Genomic DNA, 19,390 nt, shown 5'->3' with positions numbered 1-19,390 from the left:
CCCCCACCAGATCCAGAGCGGTGCGCGGCCACGGCCCCCCTGGGGCAGCCCGCAGCGGGAAGGGCGGGGGTCTGCGGGGGGCGCGGTCAGGACGGGAGGGGCACGGCTCCTCCTCGGCCAGCGCTGCTGTGCGGCGAGCAGCACCCCCCTGGGACCAAGGCGCGGCCGGGTGCAAAACGCAGGGGACCGTGCTTGGCCGCCCTCCGCCCACGTTGCCAAGCCCAGGACCCCCTGCCGGCCCCCACCCGGACCTGAGCTGCGCACGCGCACTGGACGCTCCCCAAAGCAGTGACGGACAACGCTGCCCCCAACGTCCCAGAAACCCTAAGGCCCAGACTGGCCCAGCTCGTGCCAGGCGAAGAGGGAGGCTGTTCTTCATCTCCCAAACCAAGGGGCACCTGGCCCTCCCTTTCAGTCACACTACAGAGAACTGTCTCATCTCTTTGATGAAGCTGACAGGAACCTATGGAAAACCCAGCCTACTGATTCCCTTCAAACTAGGCGAGATGCACCCAACTTTTTCCAAATCTGAGGGGCATTCGGCTCATAGCGCCCCAAACAGAGGAGGACCGTCTCCACTTTTCATTCAGGCTGAGGGGCACCCATCCCACTTTTTCTCCAAAACTGAGGGGAACGTGTTCTATCTGCCCCCTCAAACTGACTCCTCCCAATCTTTTCCCAGAAAACTGAAGGGCATCCTTCCCTCTTCCTCCCACAACTAAAGGGAACTGATCCCACCTCTTCCTTCAAACTGGGTGGAATTTATTCTCACTTCTTGCTCCAAATTGAAGGGACCCCCTCTCACTGCTTTCCCTAAATGAGGAAACCACAGGGACTCACCCCTCAAATGGAAGGAATGAGGGCTATCTTGTCCCTCAACTGAGAGAGACCTGGCCGGCCACTATCTAAAGAAACTTCTGCCCCATCTGCCCTAACACCCCTCAAAGAGAACGCAGCCTCACTATCCCCAGACCAAAGAAAGCCTCCCCGCCTTCTGCGCGTTCTCGAAGGTGGGGCGCGAGCTCGGTTTTTCCCGCCCTCCTAGCCAGTGAACTAACGGGATTCCCATTGGGCCCTGTGAGTGGCTAGCGGCGGCCCCGCCTCCGGCAGTGGTTACCTCCTGGCGCGCACTCGGGGACTAATCTTGGCTCCACCCCCTTCCTCGGCCCCGCCTCCGTCTGGCCCCGCCCCTCCAGCCGCGTCCGGTCCGGCCGGGCCCGAACCGCGGAGCTACAGTGTGCTTTGAGTAGAAGCTGCACTGGGGCCGGGACTCGGAGGCGCGCTGCGTGAGCCGGCCGCAGAGCCATGGCGGGCGGGGAAGACCGCGGGGACGGAGAGCCGGTATCAGTGGTGACCGTGAGGGTGCAGTACCTGGAAGACACCGACCCCTTCGCATGTGCCAACTTTCCGGAGCCGCGCCGGGCCCCCACCTGCAGCCTGGACGGGGCGCTGCCCTTGGGCGCGCAGATACCCGCGGTGCACCGCCTGCTGGGAGCGCCGCTCAAGGTGAGGGAGGCCGGAGAAAGGTTGGGGCGATCGGGGGTTCAGGGTGGGCGCCATGAAAACTGGTGGGAGGTGCTCCGCGGGAAGAGGCTGGAGCGAGTGTTCTTCTCCGGAAAAGTCTTGGGCTGGGGTCCCAGGGTCCACTCTGCCCCGCCTGCGGGGGAGTCCCCTCTCAAGTTGAGGGGAAACTGAAGAGGGGTGCCAGGAACTTGGCTCCGCCATTCTGACTGCCCTTCGAATTAGGCGCACCTGGGGAGGTGCTCGAGTTCCACTCGCCGTCGGTCTGCCAGGGTGGCTTCCCTGGTCAGAGTGACGGTAGCCGCTTGGGCTGTAGCGGACCCTGGAGGCGGAGCTGGGGAGGGACCAGCTTCCACCTGCTTCAGGTGAGGTGGGGGCGGGACCACGAGGAGGGGCGGGCCCGAGGCGGACTACTAGAGGTGGCAGAGGTTTCCTGCGGTGTCAGGAAGCTGGATTGGGGCTTGACCCTGTAGGTCAATGGGAGTATGGGAGTGCCGGCCGAGGAGAGACTTCACGGGGTGAGGGGAGTCCCCGCGAAGCGGTCTGGCCCGGGATCCGCAGAGCGCAGGAGGCTGCACGGGTGTAAAAGCCCTTTGAGTCACCGCTCCCGCCCCCACCCCCGGACACTCGCCGCCCATCGGCCCGCGCCTGAAAGTGAGAGGGAGGGCCGGACTAATTTTAAACAGCCGGCCTGCCCTACTTTGCTGCCGCCCCGAAGCGGACTTGTGCACAGTGCGGAAAGAGGCCCTTTTCCAGATGGCCAGCCTACCTCCTCTCCCCTCCCTCTCGCCGCCGTCAGCCCCCCGCAGGCAGCCCTTTCCGGCGCGCTGTTTCCGGGCCAGGACTCTGGGAGGCGCACTACCACCTCCACAAGCTCCCCACCAGCCCGGCCGCCTCCAGTGCTGGAGAAGAGGAGAGAGAGTCGGGGTGGGTGCCCTCCCCTGCTCCCAGCCTCAGCTGGGCGGCGAGTTGCGTAAACTTGCCCCTTGGGCCTGGGGTCTTCCCTGGAATGTGCCCCGGGCCCCCAGCCCGCATTCCTCGCGCTGCGGCCAGCCCCGCCTCTGAGCGCTGGCGGGAGGGGTGGTGAGACTATTGGCCTGGAGAGTGGCACGTGTCCAGGCCAGAACCCCGGCTTCAAGGCCATGGCTGGAAGGATGCAGGACACTGCTCACCGCCAGTTTTGACTCAGCCCCCGCTTCTCTTGCCCTATTCAGAGGGGCAAATTGAGGTGTGCCTGGAAGAAGCGTGTGCAGCTGGAGGCCACCTCCCATTCAGGATGGGGGCTGGGAAGACAGGAGTGCTGAACTAAGACTGGTTCCCGCTTCCAGGCTCCTAAAGTCCGGATCCTGAAATAAGGGTGGGGCACTAGAGAATATATTGTATTCCTCTCATCCTGCAACTCAAGGATTGGACCTAGCCCTGACACCACCCCCCCGATTTTTTTTTTTTTAAGACGGATTCTGGCTCTGTCTCCCAGGCTGGAGTACAGTGGGGCTATCTTGGCTCACTGCAACCTCCACCTCCCGGGTTCTAGCAATTCTCGTGCCTCAGCCTTCCAAATAGCTGGGATTACAGGTGTGCGCCACCATACTCAGGTAATTTTTGTATTTTTAGTAGGGACAGGGTTTCTCCGTGTTGGCCAGCCTGGTCTCAAACTCCTGACCTCAGGTGATCTGCCTGCCTAAGCCTCCCAAAGTGCTGGGATTAAGGCTTGAGCCACCATGCCCAGCCCCTTGACACACCTCTTCCCAGCTGGGGGCAAGCCTGGGAAGTCAGCTGCAAGAAAGAGGCTCAGAACCACTCCTTCTATCTCCCTCTCATGGGACCCGTGTCCCCACCCAACCCTACCAGGTGCTCTGCCCTGTGTTCCCTGCTCCTTAGCTGAGGACACTACTGAGCTCCGGTGAAGAATATAAGTTCCTCATCCCCAATGCAGTCCTTCCTGGTCTCCCCGATTTCATGTTCTCCCACCTGGAGTACCTGAGGACTGCCTTCCCTCCCCCACAGGGATATGGAGGTGGCACACTAGGTTACCACAATGCCAGAAGCCAGGATTCCCTGGGGCTAGCAACTCTGCCAGGAATGGTCAGATGCACTGTGATGTGCTCAACCCAAATATAAACTATGACCACAGCCCCAGAATAGAAGGCTGGAGGAAGAGGGGCTGAGAATAGGGCAGAGACAGGGACATCAGAGAGCTGAGCAAGGGGGAGCAGGGCCCCTCCTTGCAGGAAATGTCAACAGCTGGTTCCTCCCGTAGTCCTATAAGTGGGTGCCCCAGAGTCACAGACATGACTCAGGCCTGTCTTGCTGGCCCTCTAGAGGGAAGAGGTGGCCCAGAAACCAGGGCATCCCTGTCCCAAGCTGTAGGGCAGAAATAAGAGGAAGGGGTTCTTTACTCATTGCTTCGTCCTATGTACAGTTGTCCAGCAGAGGACAGGACACAGCCAAGTGGCCTCTGTCCTCCTCTGGGTACTGGCCCCGGGTACTGGCCCTGATCATCCCAGCAGATGACCCCCCTCCCTGGGGATGTACAGAGGCCAGCCTGCTTTCTCCCTGGGACTCCACCCACACACCCCATTGGGCCGAGCCTAGCCCCTAGAGTTCCCCTGGGGGCTTCCTTTTTAAAGAGCTTTCAGATCTCAGAAAGCCTTGCTCATTTCCTCCTAGACTAGGAGGAAGCTCCTGGCCACAGCCTCTGACTCATCTCCTGGCCCTGGTTGGTGGAAGGGAGCTTGACAGTGTCTTGGGCCGGGCCTAGTGTCCCTGGGGGAACTCAGGAGTGCCTTCCTCCCCTCCAAAATATTCCCCCAGCCCAGACCTGCCTTTGCCAGAGGGGAGAATGTGTCCCTCTGGCCTTGCATCTCATCTCCTAATCTAGAGCCTCCCAGTTCTACCCTCCCTTCTGGGAAGTGTCTCAGGAGCCTCTCCGATACCCAAGGCCCTACCACACCTGGTATAGCACTGACTTCTCCCTGAGCTCCGGGTAGGGGGATCTGGGGTGCTTCTCTGACCCTGCTGCAAAGGCCAGGAAAGCCCTCTCCTCCTGACAGTGGGGATAGCCCTAGAAATCTGGTCATTACTAGCAACTTTGTTTCCCTAGCTGTGGCTAAAAATCAGAGTAGGACAGGGGTGGCACTGTCCTGGAATGTTTCCTGACCCTACCCCAACCCACTCTAGCCTTTTTACATCTCAGGAGCCTTTGGGAGACTGTAGAAAACTGAGGTGTGGGCATGAGTCCTGGTCTCCTCCTAGCCTCCCCTGGGGCTGGACTATCCAATCTGCTGGTCATTCTGGAACAGAGTGGCTGAGCTGCAGACTGGTGAGGGACCCTGACACCTAGGTCCTGGCAGAGGTAGATACTATTATCCTAACTTGCATGGGGTGCGTGTGTCTATTGGTGTTCCCTTACTGGAACTGGGAGGACCAGTATGGGGTATTTGCAGAGTCCAGAAAACTAAGAGGATGTCTTCAGCTCTTGGCAATCCTTCTGGCCCCAGCCCTCACTCCACTTCCCCTCTAGGGTTCCTTGGAGCATTTCCAGGGCCCATCCGCCCAAGATTTGGTCAATTAGCCCTGGCTCCTGGCTGTGCACCCTGGGGCAATGCGCTGATTTTCTGATTCTTGGTTTCCCTATCTGTAAAAGGATTATTGGTAGAATCAAATTAAATAGGCGGCTCAGGCTGGGCATGGTGGCTCATGCCTGTAATCTCAGCACTTTGGGAAGCCAAGGCCAGAGGATTGCTTGAGGCCAGGAGTTCAAGAACAGTGTGGGTGATATAGCGAGACCCTATTTCTATTAAAAAAAAAAAGAAAAGAAAAAAAAGAGGCAGTCCGGTGCCTGGCACAGAGGAAGCATAAGATAACAAAAGTGGATTTCCCTCCCCAAGGCCCATCCTTGTCATCTCATTCAGGAAGTCACACTCTAGTTGGAGACCTGCGATAACAGGAAAGGAGGGTCTTCAGAACACAGGGTCCTGTGTTTATAGGAAAGGAGACAAAAGAGGCAGTTAACCAATTATTTTCTAAAATGAAAGCCCTTCAGCCTATAATCCTGCCTCTTTTCCATCTTCCCTGTACCCTGCTCTGGTATGTTCAGTCTTACCTGATTACACTGTTATTAAAAATATTGGGTAAGACAGTCTAAAGAAACAAGCGGGAAAAATGTATATTTATAAAATATATAATAGATATATGTAATAGATGTCTAGATATATATAATAGATACATAGCTATATATATAAATTATCAATATCTATAGACATCTATATATTATAGATCTATATCTATATATTATACATAGGTAGATAGATAGCTAGAAAGAGAGAGAGAAGTAGATGCCATGGTCCCCTGGGCTTGACCCTGCATATAAAACCATACATAACCAGTTGGTTTTGGGCTGCCAGAAAAGCCTGAGCCTGGAAAGTCAAGAGTATAGTGGGCTGGAGGCCAATGTGAGAAGCTGAGCCTGGGAAGAATGGGGGAAAGACTCCACCCCAAGACAGAGACCAGAGAAGTGAGGAAGACAAGAGCCAAGAAGGTGTCAGGGAAGTGGGCCCATACTACGTGCTGAGCTTAAGCCCCGTCAGCAAGGACCAGGGTTTGGGCTTATTCAGGCCTGGCCCAGCCCCAGGGTGTGAGAAACAAGGCCCAGAGGTTTGGCTCTCAGAAGGGTGACCCCAGGAAGGGGCCGGGGTGTGAGGGACATGTGCCATCCTGCTAGCAGGAAGTCTCCTGCTCTTTGCTGCTTGCCTGACTCTAGCCTACCACCCCACACTTCCACCCAGGACAGACAGCTGGGGGTGGGGAGACACTGTCCTGGAAGGCACTGGACTACCTGTTTCCCTGGACCTCCTCCCCAGAAATGGGGCCCTGGCAGGATTGGACAGGTGAAGTGGCTGAGGAGGCTAGAGAATGTGGACCATTGGCCGGGCACAGTGGCTCACACCTACAATCCCAGCACTTTGAGAGGCAGAGGCAAGTGGATCACTTGAGGTCAGGAGTTCAAGACCAGCCTGGATGACATGCTGAAACCCTGTCTCTACTAAAAATACAAAAATTAGCCAGGCATGGTGATGCACGCCTGTAACCTTAGCTACTCAGGAGGCTGAGGTAGGAGAATTGCTTGAACCCAGGAGGCAGAGGTTGCAGTGAGCCAAGACTGTGCCACTACACTCCAACTTGGGAGACAGAGCAAGACTCCATATCAAAAAAAAAAAGAAGGTGGACTATTTAACCTTCAGGACCCTTCCCCAAATGGATGCAGGTGTCCTGGAAGGAGAGGGACATTCTCTGCTCTCTTGGGATTACAGCATGCAAGGAGGCAGGACAGCGTGGTGGGCCTGACCTTTCTGGGTCTGTGCTGCTTCAGCCTGTGTTGGCCAGTGCATACCCAACCTTATACCTGGGTGTGTAAGCAGTTACCAGGTGTAACATGTTTTCCCTTCCCGTTTATCTTTATAGCACTCTGCCCCTCCCCTTTCTTAGCACTGTGAAAGTTGTGATTCCACATTCATTTGTGAGCTTTTTCTGACTCGTCTGTCTGTCTTCCCGTCTGCCCCACTGGGCTGGAAGGAAGGGAAGGCAGAGGCAGTGTCTAATTCCTCCTAGGTCCTCTGCATCTGAAACCAGCCTGGTCATGAATGTTCAAAGAATGAGCTGTTCTATATGTGTGTGATTCGAGGGGATCCCTGACGGGGGTGGCTCTGGGGTAGGTGTGTTCTTCTAGGGTCCCAGAATCTTCCAGGCCAAGGGAGGGAGATGCGGCTGTGCCTGAATGGGGGTGGGGTGGTAGGCTGCTGAGTCACTGTGTGGGAAGAGATCAGGAGGAATGTGGGTTGCCCTCAGCTGAGCTGGCCCTGGACAAGATACCCCAGCCCTCAGGCCTTGCTGCCCCTTCTCAGGCCTGTTCCCAGTAGGCCCTGGAGAAGATGACTCTGCTCCCAGGGAGGGGAAAGTGGCCAGGCCTGCCCAAGGCACCCTGGGGAGGGCAGGCAGCCAGGCAGGAAGTGGGACAGAGAACAGGCTGGAGTGTTTGTCCTATGTCCCAGGTCCCAGGCGGGGGTGGGCGGGGGGGGGGGTCATCCAAGGGCCCCACAGGCTAAACTGTGGGGAAGGAGCCAGGTCAGGCTCTGAGGCAGGCGCAAGGGTTGCTAAACAGAGGTAGGGGTTGAGGCAGGAGCTGGACTCCCTTTTTCTCCAGGGGACCAAGGCCAGTTGGAAGCCCTTGGGCAGGGTCCAGAAGAGGGCAGGGCTGACCAAACAGCAGGACAAATGTTGGAATTGACATGCCCAGTAAGATGGAGACCAGAAGACACCCTGCCTCTCCAGAGGTGGGCTCTCCCTGGGCCAAGGCATCTCAAGGGCCAGAGCCACTTAAGTCAAGGAGACTTTGCTGAACCTGCATATCTGCACTGTGCAATGGAGGGAGGTGTCTGGGAGAGGTAGAGTGCCACCCTCCGACTCACAGGAGTCACCTCCCTCAGGCTTCTCTACAGGCACTTCTCAAGGGGCTAAGTGCCATGCCTTGTGGCGGGGGAGGAGAGCCCGGGGAGGGAAACATGGACACGTGGATGGAGCATGTGCCTGCTTGTTACAAAGGCAGGCTTTGGGGTCCTACTGTAGACTGAGTCAGACTCTTAAGTGTTTTGTTTTGTTTTGTTTTTTGAGACAGAGTCTCACTCTGTCTCCCAGGCTAGAGTGCAATGACATGATCTCGGCTCACTGCAATGTCTGCCTCCTGGATTCAAGCAATTCTCCTGCCTCAGCCTCCCCAGCAGTAGCTGGGATTACAGGCACCCGCCATCATGCCTGGCTAATTTTTGCATTTTTGTAGAGACGGGGTTTCACCACGTTGGCCAGGCTGGTCTAGAACTCCTGACCTTAGGCGATCCACCCTCCTCAGCCTCCCAAAGTGCTGAGATTACAGGCGTGAGCCACCACGCCTGGCCTAAAGTTAGTTTTTTAATAGGCCCCTTGGGTGTCTCTGAGGTCCAGCTAGGACCATTGTAACTGTAGCCCACTTTGGGAGAGGCCAAAGACCCTGAAATCTGGTGGGACTGGGAAGTCTATGGATCAGACCCTGTCTTCACCCTCTTACTCACTGAGACACACACACACACAGACACACTCTCCCGGGTGGGTTTGCACCTCCCAGCCATCTTAACACTTTCTTTCTGGGGCTTAATGCTTTGTGACTATAGCTTATCACCCCACAGGGCTGTGAGCTTCCTCGAAGGCAGGAACTTCCTCCCATCTTCTCTCCATTCCCCTTCCTCATCTGTGTTTATTAGCTCAACAAGTCCTAGTGAGTGCTTACTGTGTGTCAGGTGCTATGCCAGGCTCTATAGATACAGCAGGGAGCAAGACAGACGGAGTGCCTGAACGCAGAGAACGCAGCTAGAGGAGACCAGTGGCTCGGATATTAGAATGCTGTGTGGAAGGTCTCGAAAGGGAGCATACACACAGGGTGGAGTGGGTTGCATAGCAACCTAAAGAATAGGTAGGTATCAGCCAGGAGAGGAGATGGTACAAACAAAGGCCAAGAAAGCCTGGTGCCTGACACAGATGGGCTTTGCACATAGTAGGTGCTTGAGAAGCAACTGCTGAAGGAATGCACAGCTGTAGTGCAGACCCTGTGTCTCTCTGCCACCCTTCAAGTGGTAGGTAAGAGGTCAGGGGTCTTCATACATTCGCCTGCCACCTCTTCCTCAGTCTCACAGCTGTTCCCTTTGCCCCCAGTTGGAGGATTGTGCTCTGCAAGTGTCTCCCTCCGGATACTACCTGGACACCGAGCTGTCCCTGGAAGAGCAGCGGGAGATGCTGGAGGGCTTCTATGAAGAGATCAGGTCAGAACTGATGGGGCCAGGGAGGCAAGGTTACCCCCACCCTTGCCAGGGGCTAGCTCAAATGTCAGCAGCTGAGACACTCGATCACTAGCCTGAGCCATGGGTCACCTCCTGCCCCAGGGAAGTGTGCCAGGGGAATTCTAAAGCCTGGCCAGTGTTACCTGCTGCCCAAGGTGGGAGTTAGGGGCTCTCCCACATACCTGAGATACATGTGTTTGCACCAACCCTCTTGTCCGACCAACCCTTGGGTTCTTGGAGGAGCAGCTGGGAGGAACAAGCTGGGCTGGGGCTGGCATGGGGAGGTCTTTGGCTCCCTTGGCTTGTGGGGAGGAATGCTGAGGGATAGGCTGGGAGCTGCTAACAGAGATCCTTGATTCCAGCAAAGGGCGGAAGCCCACGCTGATCCTTCGGACCCAGCTCTCTGTGAGGGTCAACGCTATCTTGGGTGAGTGTGTGAGAGCATCCATGTCCAGCAGCACCTCCTCCCCATAGCCCAGTTGGCTCACCTTCAGGCCTGTGCTGAACAGTGAGCAAAGTAGGTTTAGCTGTATGTGCTCCTTCCTCTCCCTATCCTGACCTCTTCTTCCAGGGCCATGGTGGGAGTGGAGGGGGATTCAAGAATGTTAGAATAGACCAGGCGTGGTAGCTCATGCCTCCAATGCCAGTGCTTTGAGAGGTCAAGGTGGGAGAATTGCTTGAGGCTAGGAGTTTGAGGTTGCAGTGAGCTATGACTGTGCCACTGCACTCCACACTCCAGCCTGAGTGACAGAGTGAGACCCTGTCTCTCAGACCAAAACATATATATTAGACTATTCTTTGGTGGAGAGTTGTGGTTGTATCCAAGCAGAGGAAGACAGTGAGTCTGTGTCCATCAAGGGTTTTATACCCTACCTTTTGCAGAAAAGCTGTATAGCTCCAGTGGTCCTGAGCTCCGCCGCTCCCTCTTCTCACTGAAGCAGATCTTCCAGGTGAGGCCCCGCAGTGGGCTGGGGGTAAGTGTGTAGCCCAAGCTTCCCTAAACTCCCCCATGGTGCCTCTAGGAGGACAAAGACCTGGTGCCTGAATTTGTGCATTCAGAGGGGCTGAGCTGCCTGATCCGTGTGGGTGCTGCTGCCGACCACAACTACCAGAGCTACATCCTTAGAGGTCAGCCCCGCCCCTCTCCCATGACCTCTGCTCCAGCGACCCTCGCTGACTCTGCCCATCCCTGTTTCCCCAGCGCTCGGCCAGCTGATGCTCTTTGTGGATGGAATGCTGGGGGTGGTGGCCCACAGTGACACTATTCAGTGGCTGTACACATTGTGTGCCAGCCTGGTAAGTGGCTCTCCACTCAGCCTTATACCCTTTGCCTGTTGCTTCTCTCTGGGCCTCAGTTTCCTGTTCTGCAAAGTGAGCTGGAAGGGAGTGAGTCTGAGGCCTCTGTAAGCCTATAAGGCACTTCAGTGCCTGGGCCTGGGGCCAGGGTCATTCTGCCTAGATTCTCTCTGGGTCCAGCCCCAGCAGCCCTTCCCCTTCCCCAGCAACAGCTGGCACAGGTCTGGCCTAAGCCCCACTCATATGTACTGACCTCTCTCCTCAGTCCCGCTTGGTGGTGAAGACAGCCCTGAAGCTGCTGTTGGTGTTTGTAGAATACTCCGAAAACAACGCACCGCTGTTCATCCGTGCAGTGAACTCTGTGGCCAGCACCACCGGTCAGAGACTGTCCCTTTCTCCCCCCACCGCTCAGAGCCCTCTCTCCTACCTGTTCCCCCATGACTGCTCCACTTTCTGTGTGGCAGGTGCTCCTCCCTGGGCCAATCTGGTGTCCATCCTGGAGGAGAAGAATGGCGCTGACCCTGAGTTGTTGGTGTACACGGTCACCCTCATCAACAAGGTGTGGCCAAGGACTGGGTGCCAGCTCTGGGATGCTCAGGCTCCTGACCTCCCCACCAACCTCAGCCTTGCCTTCTTATCCCCGCCCTCCAGACGCTGGCGGCGCTCCCGGACCAGGACTCCTTCTACGATGTGACGGATGCACTGGAGCAGCAGGGCATGGAAGCGCTGGTCCAGCGCCACCTGGGCACTGCGGGCACTGACGTCGACCTGCGCACGCAGCTTGTGCTCTACGAGGTGGGCCGGGCCTTACGCTCTGAGGCGGATTGGAAAGAGGGAAGAGAGAAGCGCAGTCCCCAGCGCCCCACCCCACCTGCATACACGTTAACCACTTTCTTACATCCTGGTCCGCCTCTGCTAGAACGCCCTGAAATTGGAGGATGGAGACATCGAAGAAGCCCCAGGCGCTGGTGGGCGGCGGGAACGACGAAAGCCTTCTTCTGAGGAGGGCAAGAGGAGCCGCCGTTCTCTGGAAGGCGGGGGCTGCCCCGCGCGTGCCCCGGAACCTGGGTAAGTACGAGCATCTGTAGATGGGAAAGGGTGGATCTACTAGGCATGGCCCAGTGAGCTGACAGGCCCTGACCCCAACCCCCTCAGGCCCCGCCCCACAGACAGCCCCCACCTCCTCCACTGGGCCTGCCCTACCGACATGCCCCACCTCCCGCCCCGCAGGCCCCACCCCACTGACAGGCCCCGCCTCCAGCTTCTCAGGCCCCGCCCCACTGACAGCCCCTGCTTTCAGCCCCACAGGCCCCGCCTCACCGGTAGGCCCCACCTCTTCCACCGGCCCCGCCCTGCTGACAGGCCCCGCCTCCAGCCCTGTGGGCCCTCCCTCCGGTCTCCAAGCTTCAGTGAACCTTTTTCCTACCATCTCTGTGGCACCCTCAGCTGACACCTCCAGCGAGAGGAGCATCTACAAGTAAGTAGGGAGACAGAGGCCACCCTGGAGTCCTCTCTCCCATTGTCCCTCCGCTTTGCGCCCCTCCATGGGCACTCAGCCTCCTCTGCCCAAACGCGTGCTTTCTCTCTCTCTCTTTCCAGACTTCACCAAACTGCTTCCGTTTGGTAAGTGACTGCCAGCGGGTGGGGTTCGGCTCTGACTGGATCTCCTCCTCCTGTGGTTTCCTTTGTCTCCTCCGACGTTCTGCCTGTCTTTGCCTCTTGTCATGTCTCCCGCCCACTATCTGTCACTCCCTTGTTCTGCTGCCTCTGTCTCTTCCAGCACCCTGTCCTGCTCCACGTCAGTCTCTCCCCTCCACTTCCAGTTTCCTCGTGTCATACCTTCCCCCACTTCCCACTGCGGCTGGGAAGGAACCCCAATATCACTGCCTAGCTCTGTGTGGGTATGAGCAACCATGGAGCTGACACCACAGTTACCATCTCTTCCTCTCATCCCCCCTACCCAGGGCCCCTGAGAGCCCACCCGTCCCCCAGTCCCCTCCTGGGCAGGCCAGGCTGGAGTAAGTACAGAGGCCGGCCTGCCAGGCCTGCCATGTGCTCAGGGCTTCAGCATTGCTTCCCCCAGCAGGGGTTTCACGTGCCTGATGCAACCAAAGCTGGGGGACTCAGGCCTATCCTCTCCCAGACATATGCCTCCTCGGTAACCCAAAGGCTAAGCACTGGGAACCAATTCACTGGGGTCACAGTGGTCCCTGTGCTTCAATAGCAACACCTTAGCAGCCAGAGATGGGGATGTGGACACCCAACCTGGGGCTCATTCTGCCAAGTCTTCAGCTCAGAAGCGAGCAGGGAGGGGACCTAGGGTGCTGTGTGGTGTGTGGTGTGGGGGTGGAGGGGTAACCTAAGGCTGAGGGAAAGGCAGGGACTGAGAGCTGACAGAGGCTGGAGGGGCCAGAAAAGAAACACTGGATTGCACCCATTATTTCAGCATAAACTGAGGGTCCACTGTTTACCACATCCGTTTTTTTTTTGTTTTTTTTTTTTTTGAGACAGAGTCTTGCTCGGTCTCCAAGGCTGGAGTGCAGTGGTGTGATCTCAGCACACTGCAACCTCTGCCTCCCAGGTTCAAGCAATTCTCCTGCCTCAGCCTCCCAAGTAGCTGGGATTATAGGCCTGCACCAGGATACCTGGGTAATTTTTGTATTTTTAGTAGAGACAGGGTTTCACCATGTTGGCCAGGCTGGTCTCGAACTCCTGACTTCAAGTAATCCACCCACCTCTGCCTCCCAAAGTGCTGGGATTACAAGCGTGAGCCACCGCACCTGGCCTGTTTACCAGGCCCTTTCCTGGGCATAGGCTCCCAGAAGCTACCAGACATGCCAAGGGAGGGACAGCCTGATATGCCCATTGGGACAGCTATCCCCTTCCCCTGCTCTAAGAGTCCTTGTCTAGACTCAAGACACCAGCCTGGGCAACACAGTAAGACCTCATCTCTACAAAGAAATTTTTTAAAATTTGGCTGGGTGCATCATTCACACCTGTAATCTCAGCACTTCAGGAGGCTGAGGTGGGAGGACTGCTTGAGGCCAGGAATTCAAGGCCAGCCTGAACAACACAGTGAGACCCTGTCTCCTCAAAAAAATTAAAAAATCAGCTGGACGTGGTGGCACATGTCTGTAGTCCCAGCTACTTGGGAGGCTGAGGGTCAAGCCCAGGAGAGTGAGGCTGCAGTGAGCTATGATCACACCACTGTACTCCAGCCTGGGTGACTGACAGAGTGAGACCCTGTCTCTAAAAAAAAAACCAACCAAAAAAAAACCAGGACAGTGAACATGAACGAGGTTGCAAGTTAGATGTTAAGTAGATCCTCTCCCTGTGTTTTCACCTGGGAATGCTGGGTTGGTAGTAATCCTCCCCAGATGTGGAGGACTGAAGAGGGGCTGGCCTTGGGGGGGGTGTGGTTCTGGTCTGCTCAGCGCATGGACTGTTCCCTGTGTGTCTGTGCGTGCCTGCAATTGGGGGTGGTGTCCAGGGGCTCAGCAAGGCATGTACACCTGGGCTGGGGTGTGTCAGACGCTGTCAGTGACAAGCACCTTCCCTCAGAGCCCGGTTCCTGGAGAATGTGGCGGCAGCAGAAACAGAGAAGCAGGTTGCGCTGGCCCAGGGCCGGGCAGAGACACTTGCCGGGGCCATGCCCAATGAGGCGGGTGGACACCCAGGTGAGTAGGTGGGTGAGCAGGCAGAGCCTGCCTGTTGCTTTGTTGCCCCACAGGGGGCATGGCACTGACAGCTCCTTCCCTTTCTTTAGATGCCCGGCAACTCTGGGACTCCCCAGAGACAGCCCCTGCAGCCAGAACACCCCAGAGCCCTGCCCCCTGTGTCCTGCTCCGGGCCCAGCGAAGCCTTGCACCAGAGCCCAAGGAGCCACTGATACCAGCAAGCCCCAAGGCTGAGCCCATCTGGGAGCTCCCTACCCGTGCACCCAGGCTCTCTATTGGGGACCTGGACTTTTCAGATCTAGGGGAGGATGAAGACCAGGACATGCTGAATGTAGAGTCTGTGGAGGCTGGGAAAGACATCCCAGCTCCCTCACCCCCACTGCCCCTGCTCTCGGGAGTACCCCCCCCTCCCCCACTTCCACCTCCCCCACCCATCAAAGGCCCCTTCCCACCACCTCCACCTCTACCTCTGGCTGCCCCTCTTCCCCATTCAGTGCCTGACAGCTCAGCCCTCCCCACTAAGAGGAAGACAGTAAAACTTTTCTGGCGTGAGCTGAAGCTGGCTGGGGGCCATGGAGTCTCTGCAAGCCGCTTTGGGCCCTGCGCCACCCTCTGGGCTTCACTGGACCCTGTCTCAGTGGACACGGCCCGACTGGAACACCTCTTTGAGTCTCGTGCCAAAGAGGTGCTGCCCTCCAAGGTAAATCCACTCATCTGCAAGGTAGCCCCAAGGGAGGCAGGAGGGAATCAGAGCTTAAGGATCTGACCTGTTGGAGCTAGTCACTCACTTCCCACATGGGGAAACCAAGGCAAAGAAAGGAGTAGGAAATTGTCCAAGGTCTCCTAACAAGGGATCAGCAGTGCCCCAACTAGAATCTAAATGTGGCCGGGCATGGTGGCTCACACCTGTAATCCAAGAGTTTGAGACCAGCCTGTGCAACATAGTGAGACATTATCTCTACTAAAAGTTGGTCTGGGTGTAGTGGCTCATGCCTGTAATCCCAGGACCTTGGGAGGCCGAGGCAGGTGGATCATTTGAGGTCAGGAGTTCGAGACCAGCCTGGTCAAATTAGCAAAACCCCGTCTCTACTAAAAACACAAAATTAGCCAAGCGTGGTGGCGGGCACCTGTAATCCCAGCTACTCGGGAGGCTGAGGCAGGAGAATCACTTGAACCCGGGAGGTAGAGGTTGCAGTGAGTCGAGATCGCACCATTGCACTCCAGCCTGGGGGACAAGAGCAAGACTTCGTCTCAAAAATAACTAAATAAATAAAAATAAATAAATGTTAAAAAAAAAATTAGCCGGGCATGGTGGCTCACCCCTGTAATCCCAGCACTTTGGGAGGCCAAGGCAGGCAGATTACTTGAGGCCAGGAGTTTGAGACCAGCCTGGCCAACATGGTGAAACCCCGTCTCTACTAAAAATATGAAAATGAGCTGGGCGTGGTGGCTCATGCCTGCAATACCAGCTACTTGGGAGGCTGAGGCAAAAGAATTGCTTGAACCTGGGAGGCGGAAAAAAAAATGTTAAAAAAAAAAATAGTTGGGTATGGTGGTACACGCCTGTAATCCCAGCTACTTGGGAGGCTGAGGCAGGAAAATCCCAGAAGATAAGCTGCAGTGGGCGATGATGGCACCACTGCACTCCAGCCTAGATGGTAGAGCCAGGCCCTGTCTCAAAAGAATCTAAGCTCATCCCCATGACTTACACATTCCAGGTTGCCAGTTTGTCAGTTGTGGGATCATTTGGCAATCTAGAGGAGGGCCTTGGAGTGCCCTCTGAGGTTGCTGTCCCAGCTAGTCCCTTCCTCAGTCTTTTTTTTTTTTTTTTTTTTTTTGAGACAGAGTCTTGCTCAGTCACCCAGGATGTAGTGCAATGGTGTGATCTCAGCTCACTGCAAGCTCCGCCTCCCGGGTTCACGCCATTCTCCTGCCTCAGCCTCCCGAGTAGCTGGGACTACAGGTGCCCGCCACCACGCCCAGCTAATTTTTTTTGTATTTTTAGTAGAGATGGGGTTTCACCATGTTAGCCAGGATGGTCTCGATCTCCTGACCTCGTGGTCCACCCGCCTTGGCCTCCCAAAGTGCTGGGATTACAGGCGTGAGCCACCGCGTCAGGCCCCCTTCCTCAGTCTTACACTGCCCTTCCCCCAACCATGCAGAAAGCTGGAGAGGGCCGCCGGACAATGACCACAGTGCTGGACCCCAAGCGCAGCAACGCCATCAACATCGGCCTAACCACACTGCCACCTGTGCATGTCATTAAGGCTGCTCTGCTCAACTTTGATGAGTTTGCTGTCAGCAAGGATGGCATTGAGGTGAGGTCACCCAGCTATGGGTGTTGGGGGGAGGTCTGGCCTTCTCCTTTGGTAGGTGGGCATTTCCTGTCCCTCTGGTGGTGGGCATGGGCTTGGCATTTCTGCAGGGCAGTCCCCAGACACTGGGGCCTCCCCTAGATGACTGAGGGGTCAAGACCAATGCCTCAGGCCTCAGGCCTGCATTGAGGGGGCCATGTCAGGCTCTGGCTACATCCTCAGAAGCTACTGACCATGATGCCCACGGAGGAAGAGCGGCAGAAGATTGAGGAAGCCCAGCTGGCCAACCCTGACATACCCCTGGGCCCAGCCGAGAACTTCCTGATGACTCTTGCCTCCATTGGCGGCCTCGCTGCTCGTCTACAACTCTGGGCCTTCAAGCTGGACTATGACAGCATGGAGCGGGTACCTGGGTCTTGGAGTGGGACAGTCAGTAGGGACAGGTAAGCATCATGACCATGTAGTCTGAGAGTCCCTGGTCTCCCATACCAGGAAATTGCTGAGCCACTGTTTGACCTGAAAGTGGGTATGGAACAGCTGGTACAGAATGCCACCTTCCGCTGCATCCTGGCTACCCTCCTAGCGGTGGGCAACTTCCTCAATGGCTCCCAGGTGAGTGAGAGTACATGGGGACTAGGGGGAGTCAGGGTTCTGGAGCCAACCAGGCCCAGGCTCAGAAAGGGTCCTTTCAGAGCAGCGGCTTTGAGCTGAGCTACCTGGAGAAGGTGTCAGAGGTGAAGGACACGGTGCGTCGACAGTCACTGCTACACCATCTCTGCTCCCTAGTGCTCCAGACCCGGCCTGAGTCCTCTGACCTCTATTCAGAAATCCCTGCCCTGACCCGCTGTGCCAAGGTTAGCACCTGCCAGAATCAACCAAGGCCGGACAAGGCATGAGGAGCGCTGCTTCCTGGGCCTGGCTCCTCCCCCTTCTCCCCATTTGGGCTGCTGTGCCAGGGCTTGCTCCAGCCACCTGGGTGTGAGCTATGCCCTCTGCCAGAAATGCTCTTTCCTCTATTGGCCTGGCCACACCTACTCAGTCTTTGGGTCTGTTTAACTGCCACTTCCCCCAGTAAACCTTCTGCTCCCCATTCACATCAGATGGACTTGTGTCTCTTGCACTAGTCTATGAGATTTGGATGTCTGTGTCCTTAGGGCCCAAGCTGGCCACTCTGGCCCAGAAGCAGCCTCGGGCCATGTCTTGTCTACAGGGTGTGGGGGGACAGTATGTGCACCCCCTTGCTTTCTCAGGTGGACTTTGAACAGCTGACTGAGAACCTGGGGCAGCTGGAGCGCCGGAGCCGGGCAGCCGAGGAGAGCCTGCGGAGCTTGGCCAAGCATGAGCTGGCCCCAGCCCTGCGTGCCCGCCTCACCCACTTCCTGGACCAGTGTGCCCGCCGTGTTGCCATGCTAAGGATAGTGCACCGCCGTGTCTGCAATAGGTAGGGGCATGGACCCAAGAGAGGCAGGACGGCCACCACCCTCCCTCAGACAATAAGCAGGACTTACTGTCCCTCCCTACTCTGACCTGCCTAGGTTCCATGCCTTCCTGCTCTACCTGGGCTACACCCCGCAGGCGGCCCGTGAAGTGCGCATCATGCAGTTCTGCCACACGCTGCGGGAATTTGCGCTTGAGTATCGGACTTGCCGGGAACGAGTGCTACAGCAGCAGCAGAAGCAGGCCACATACCGTGAGCGCAACAAGACCCGGGGACGCATGATCACCGAGGTGGGTGCCCTTCCAGGTCTTAGTCTTGACTGCCACCTCCTTGGTTTCCTTCGCTCCTCCCAGCTCACCCTTCTTCTTTCTCCAGACAGAGAAGTTCTCAGGTGTGGCTGGGGAAGCCCCCAGCAACCCCTCTGTCCCAGTAGCAGTGAGCAGCGGGCCAGGCCGGGGAGATGCTGACAGTCATGCTAGTATGAAGAGTCTGCTGACCAGCAGGCCTGAGGACACCACACACAATCGCCGCAGCAGAGGTGAGGCCCATAGCAGCTGTGGGGAATGGGCTCCAGTGCCACCTTGGCCTGACTTTGCTATCTGGCCTTCCTCAGGCATGGTCCAGAGCAGCTCCCCAATCATGCCCACAGTGGGGCCCTCCACTGCATCCCCAGAAGAACCCCCAGGCTCCAGTTTACCCAGTGATACATCAGATGAGATCATGGACCTTCTGGTGCAGTCAGTGACCAAGAGCAGTCCTCGTGCCTTAGCTGCTAGGGAACGCAAGCGTTCCCGCGGCAACCGCAAGTCTTGTAAGTAACCCCCCACAATCCCACTGCCCACCTGAACCCCATCAACCCCCTCCAACCCTGCTCTGTCCCTGCAGTGAGAAGGACGTTGAAGAGTGGGCTCGGAGATGACCTGGTGCAGGCACTGGGACTAAGCAAGGGTCCTGGCCTGGAGGTGTGAAGGTGCTGTATCCCGGAAATCTATCTGGACCCTGGACTGCAGTGCAGGAGATGACAGAGTGAGGAGGGCCCAGAGCAGAATTCTGGCCCCAGAACTCTGTGCCCAGGAGCCATGCCTTGAGCAGTATTAGCCGTGTGTGTATGCATGTGAGTGTGTGTGTATGTGTGTGTGTGCATGCATATGCATGTGCATGTGTGTGAGCTCCTTGAACGCACGGAGCAAAATAAAATTTTCTTAGCTAATCCAACAGGTTTCTCTTCTTTCAGGGTCCCCACCAGGCTGGGTTTGTAGCAGGAGGGAAATCCCATAG

General features: G+C 56.8%; 1 protein-coding gene across 11 annotated transcripts, besides 16 other annotated features; it reads left to right on the top strand.

Annotated features, from left to right (window-relative positions):
* Nucleotides 86-175: a silencer, noted in NCBI's record as "silent region_7598". NCBI's record gives its function as "represses an Ori minimal core promoter by ATAC-STARR-seq in GM12878 lymphoblastoid cells {active_cell/tissue: GM12878}" and the evidence as "EXISTENCE:reporter gene assay evidence [ECO:0000049][PMID:35858748]".
* Nucleotides 196-285: a silencer, noted in NCBI's record as "silent region_7597". NCBI's record gives its function as "represses an Ori minimal core promoter by ATAC-STARR-seq in GM12878 lymphoblastoid cells {active_cell/tissue: GM12878}" and the evidence as "EXISTENCE:reporter gene assay evidence [ECO:0000049][PMID:35858748]".
* Nucleotides 928-1,297: a silencer, noted in NCBI's record as "silent region_7596". NCBI's record gives its function as "represses an Ori minimal core promoter by ATAC-STARR-seq in GM12878 lymphoblastoid cells {active_cell/tissue: GM12878}" and the evidence as "EXISTENCE:reporter gene assay evidence [ECO:0000049][PMID:35858748]".
* Nucleotides 1,235-19,327, top strand: FHOD1 (formin homology 2 domain containing 1). Of its 11 annotated transcripts, none has more exons than NM_001318202.2 (24): nt 1,235-1,506; nt 9,262-9,368; nt 9,749-9,813; nt 10,269-10,336; nt 10,409-10,514; nt 10,588-10,682; nt 10,948-11,059; nt 11,147-11,241; nt 11,334-11,477; nt 11,602-11,750; nt 11,983-12,159; nt 12,282-12,305; nt 12,647-12,700; nt 14,244-14,359; nt 14,449-15,059; nt 16,522-16,677; nt 16,897-17,079; nt 17,167-17,286; nt 17,367-17,528; nt 17,925-18,115; nt 18,210-18,402; nt 18,488-18,650; nt 18,726-18,923; nt 18,998-19,327. In NM_001318202.2, the coding sequence occupies exons 1-24, from the start codon at nt 1,306-1,308 to the stop codon at nt 19,078-19,080; spliced, it is 3,573 nt and encodes a 1,190-aa protein (NP_001305131.1). In that variant the 5' UTR covers nt 1,235-1,305; the 3' UTR covers nt 19,081-19,327. The 11 variants fall into 11 exon arrangements, with proteins under 11 accessions (NP_001305131.1, XP_011521346.1, NP_037373.2 ...); XM_011523043.3 differs by lacking the exon at nt 1,235-1,506 and adding an exon at nt 1,905-2,448; XM_011523044.2 differs by lacking the exon at nt 17,367-17,528.
* Nucleotides 2,198-2,297: a silencer, noted in NCBI's record as "silent region_7595". NCBI's record gives its function as "represses an Ori minimal core promoter by ATAC-STARR-seq in GM12878 lymphoblastoid cells {active_cell/tissue: GM12878}" and the evidence as "EXISTENCE:reporter gene assay evidence [ECO:0000049][PMID:35858748]".
* Nucleotides 2,401-3,060: an enhancer, noted in NCBI's record as "H3K27ac-H3K4me1 hESC enhancer chr16:67279559-67280218 (GRCh37/hg19 assembly coordinates)". NCBI's record gives its function as "activates a minimal SCP1, AML or CMV promoter by ChIP-STARR-seq in naive H9 embryonic stem cells {active_cell/tissue: H9 hESC(naive)}" and the evidence as "EXISTENCE:reporter gene assay evidence [ECO:0000049][PMID:30033119]".
* Nucleotides 3,833-3,882: an enhancer, noted in NCBI's record as "active region_10962". NCBI's record gives its function as "activates an Ori minimal core promoter by ATAC-STARR-seq in GM12878 lymphoblastoid cells {active_cell/tissue: GM12878}" and the evidence as "EXISTENCE:reporter gene assay evidence [ECO:0000049][PMID:35858748]".
* Nucleotides 3,993-4,042: an enhancer, noted in NCBI's record as "active region_10961". NCBI's record gives its function as "activates an Ori minimal core promoter by ATAC-STARR-seq in GM12878 lymphoblastoid cells {active_cell/tissue: GM12878}" and the evidence as "EXISTENCE:reporter gene assay evidence [ECO:0000049][PMID:35858748]".
* Nucleotides 4,293-4,532: an enhancer, noted in NCBI's record as "active region_10960". NCBI's record gives its function as "activates an Ori minimal core promoter by ATAC-STARR-seq in GM12878 lymphoblastoid cells {active_cell/tissue: GM12878}" and the evidence as "EXISTENCE:reporter gene assay evidence [ECO:0000049][PMID:35858748]".
* Nucleotides 5,775-6,447: an enhancer, noted in NCBI's record as "H3K27ac-H3K4me1 hESC enhancer chr16:67276172-67276844 (GRCh37/hg19 assembly coordinates)". NCBI's record gives its function as "activates a minimal SCP1, AML or CMV promoter by ChIP-STARR-seq in primed H9 embryonic stem cells {active_cell/tissue: H9 hESC(primed)}" and the evidence as "EXISTENCE:reporter gene assay evidence [ECO:0000049][PMID:30033119]".
* Nucleotides 6,448-7,121: an enhancer, noted in NCBI's record as "H3K27ac-H3K4me1 hESC enhancer chr16:67275498-67276171 (GRCh37/hg19 assembly coordinates)". NCBI's record gives its function as "activates a minimal SCP1, AML or CMV promoter by ChIP-STARR-seq in primed H9 embryonic stem cells {active_cell/tissue: H9 hESC(primed)}" and the evidence as "EXISTENCE:reporter gene assay evidence [ECO:0000049][PMID:30033119]".
* Nucleotides 10,134-11,333: an enhancer, noted in NCBI's record as "BRD4-independent group 4 enhancer chr16:67271286-67272485 (GRCh37/hg19 assembly coordinates)". NCBI's record gives its function as "activates an origin of replication core promoter dependent on BRD2, P300/CBP, MED14 and CDK7 cofactors, and independent of BRD4, by STARR-seq in HCT116 cells {active_cell/tissue: HCT116}" and the evidence as "EXISTENCE:reporter gene assay evidence [ECO:0000049][PMID:35650434]".
* Nucleotides 10,134-11,946: a biological region, named in NCBI's record as "BRD4-independent group 4 enhancer GRCh37_chr16:67271286-67272485".
* Nucleotides 11,005-11,946: an enhancer, noted in NCBI's record as "H3K4me1 hESC enhancer chr16:67270673-67271614 (GRCh37/hg19 assembly coordinates)". NCBI's record gives its function as "activates a minimal SCP1, AML or CMV promoter by ChIP-STARR-seq in naive H9 embryonic stem cells {active_cell/tissue: H9 hESC(naive)}" and the evidence as "EXISTENCE:reporter gene assay evidence [ECO:0000049][PMID:30033119]".
* Nucleotides 11,951-12,110: a silencer, noted in NCBI's record as "silent region_7594". NCBI's record gives its function as "represses an Ori minimal core promoter by ATAC-STARR-seq in GM12878 lymphoblastoid cells {active_cell/tissue: GM12878}" and the evidence as "EXISTENCE:reporter gene assay evidence [ECO:0000049][PMID:35858748]".
* Nucleotides 16,359-16,858: an enhancer, noted in NCBI's record as "H3K4me1 hESC enhancer chr16:67265761-67266260 (GRCh37/hg19 assembly coordinates)". NCBI's record gives its function as "activates a minimal SCP1, AML or CMV promoter by ChIP-STARR-seq in primed H9 embryonic stem cells {active_cell/tissue: H9 hESC(primed)}" and the evidence as "EXISTENCE:reporter gene assay evidence [ECO:0000049][PMID:30033119]".
* Nucleotides 16,859-17,360: an enhancer, noted in NCBI's record as "H3K4me1 hESC enhancer chr16:67265259-67265760 (GRCh37/hg19 assembly coordinates)". NCBI's record gives its function as "activates a minimal SCP1, AML or CMV promoter by ChIP-STARR-seq in naive and primed H9 embryonic stem cells {active_cell/tissue: H9 hESC(naive and primed)}" and the evidence as "EXISTENCE:reporter gene assay evidence [ECO:0000049][PMID:30033119]".

This window comes from Homo sapiens, chromosome 16, assembly GCF_000001405.40.
Source record: "Homo sapiens chromosome 16, GRCh38.p14 Primary Assembly".
NCBI lineage: Eukaryota > Metazoa > Chordata > Mammalia > Primates > Hominidae > Homo > Homo sapiens.
This window is presented reverse-complemented; position numbering and strand designations above follow the sequence as displayed.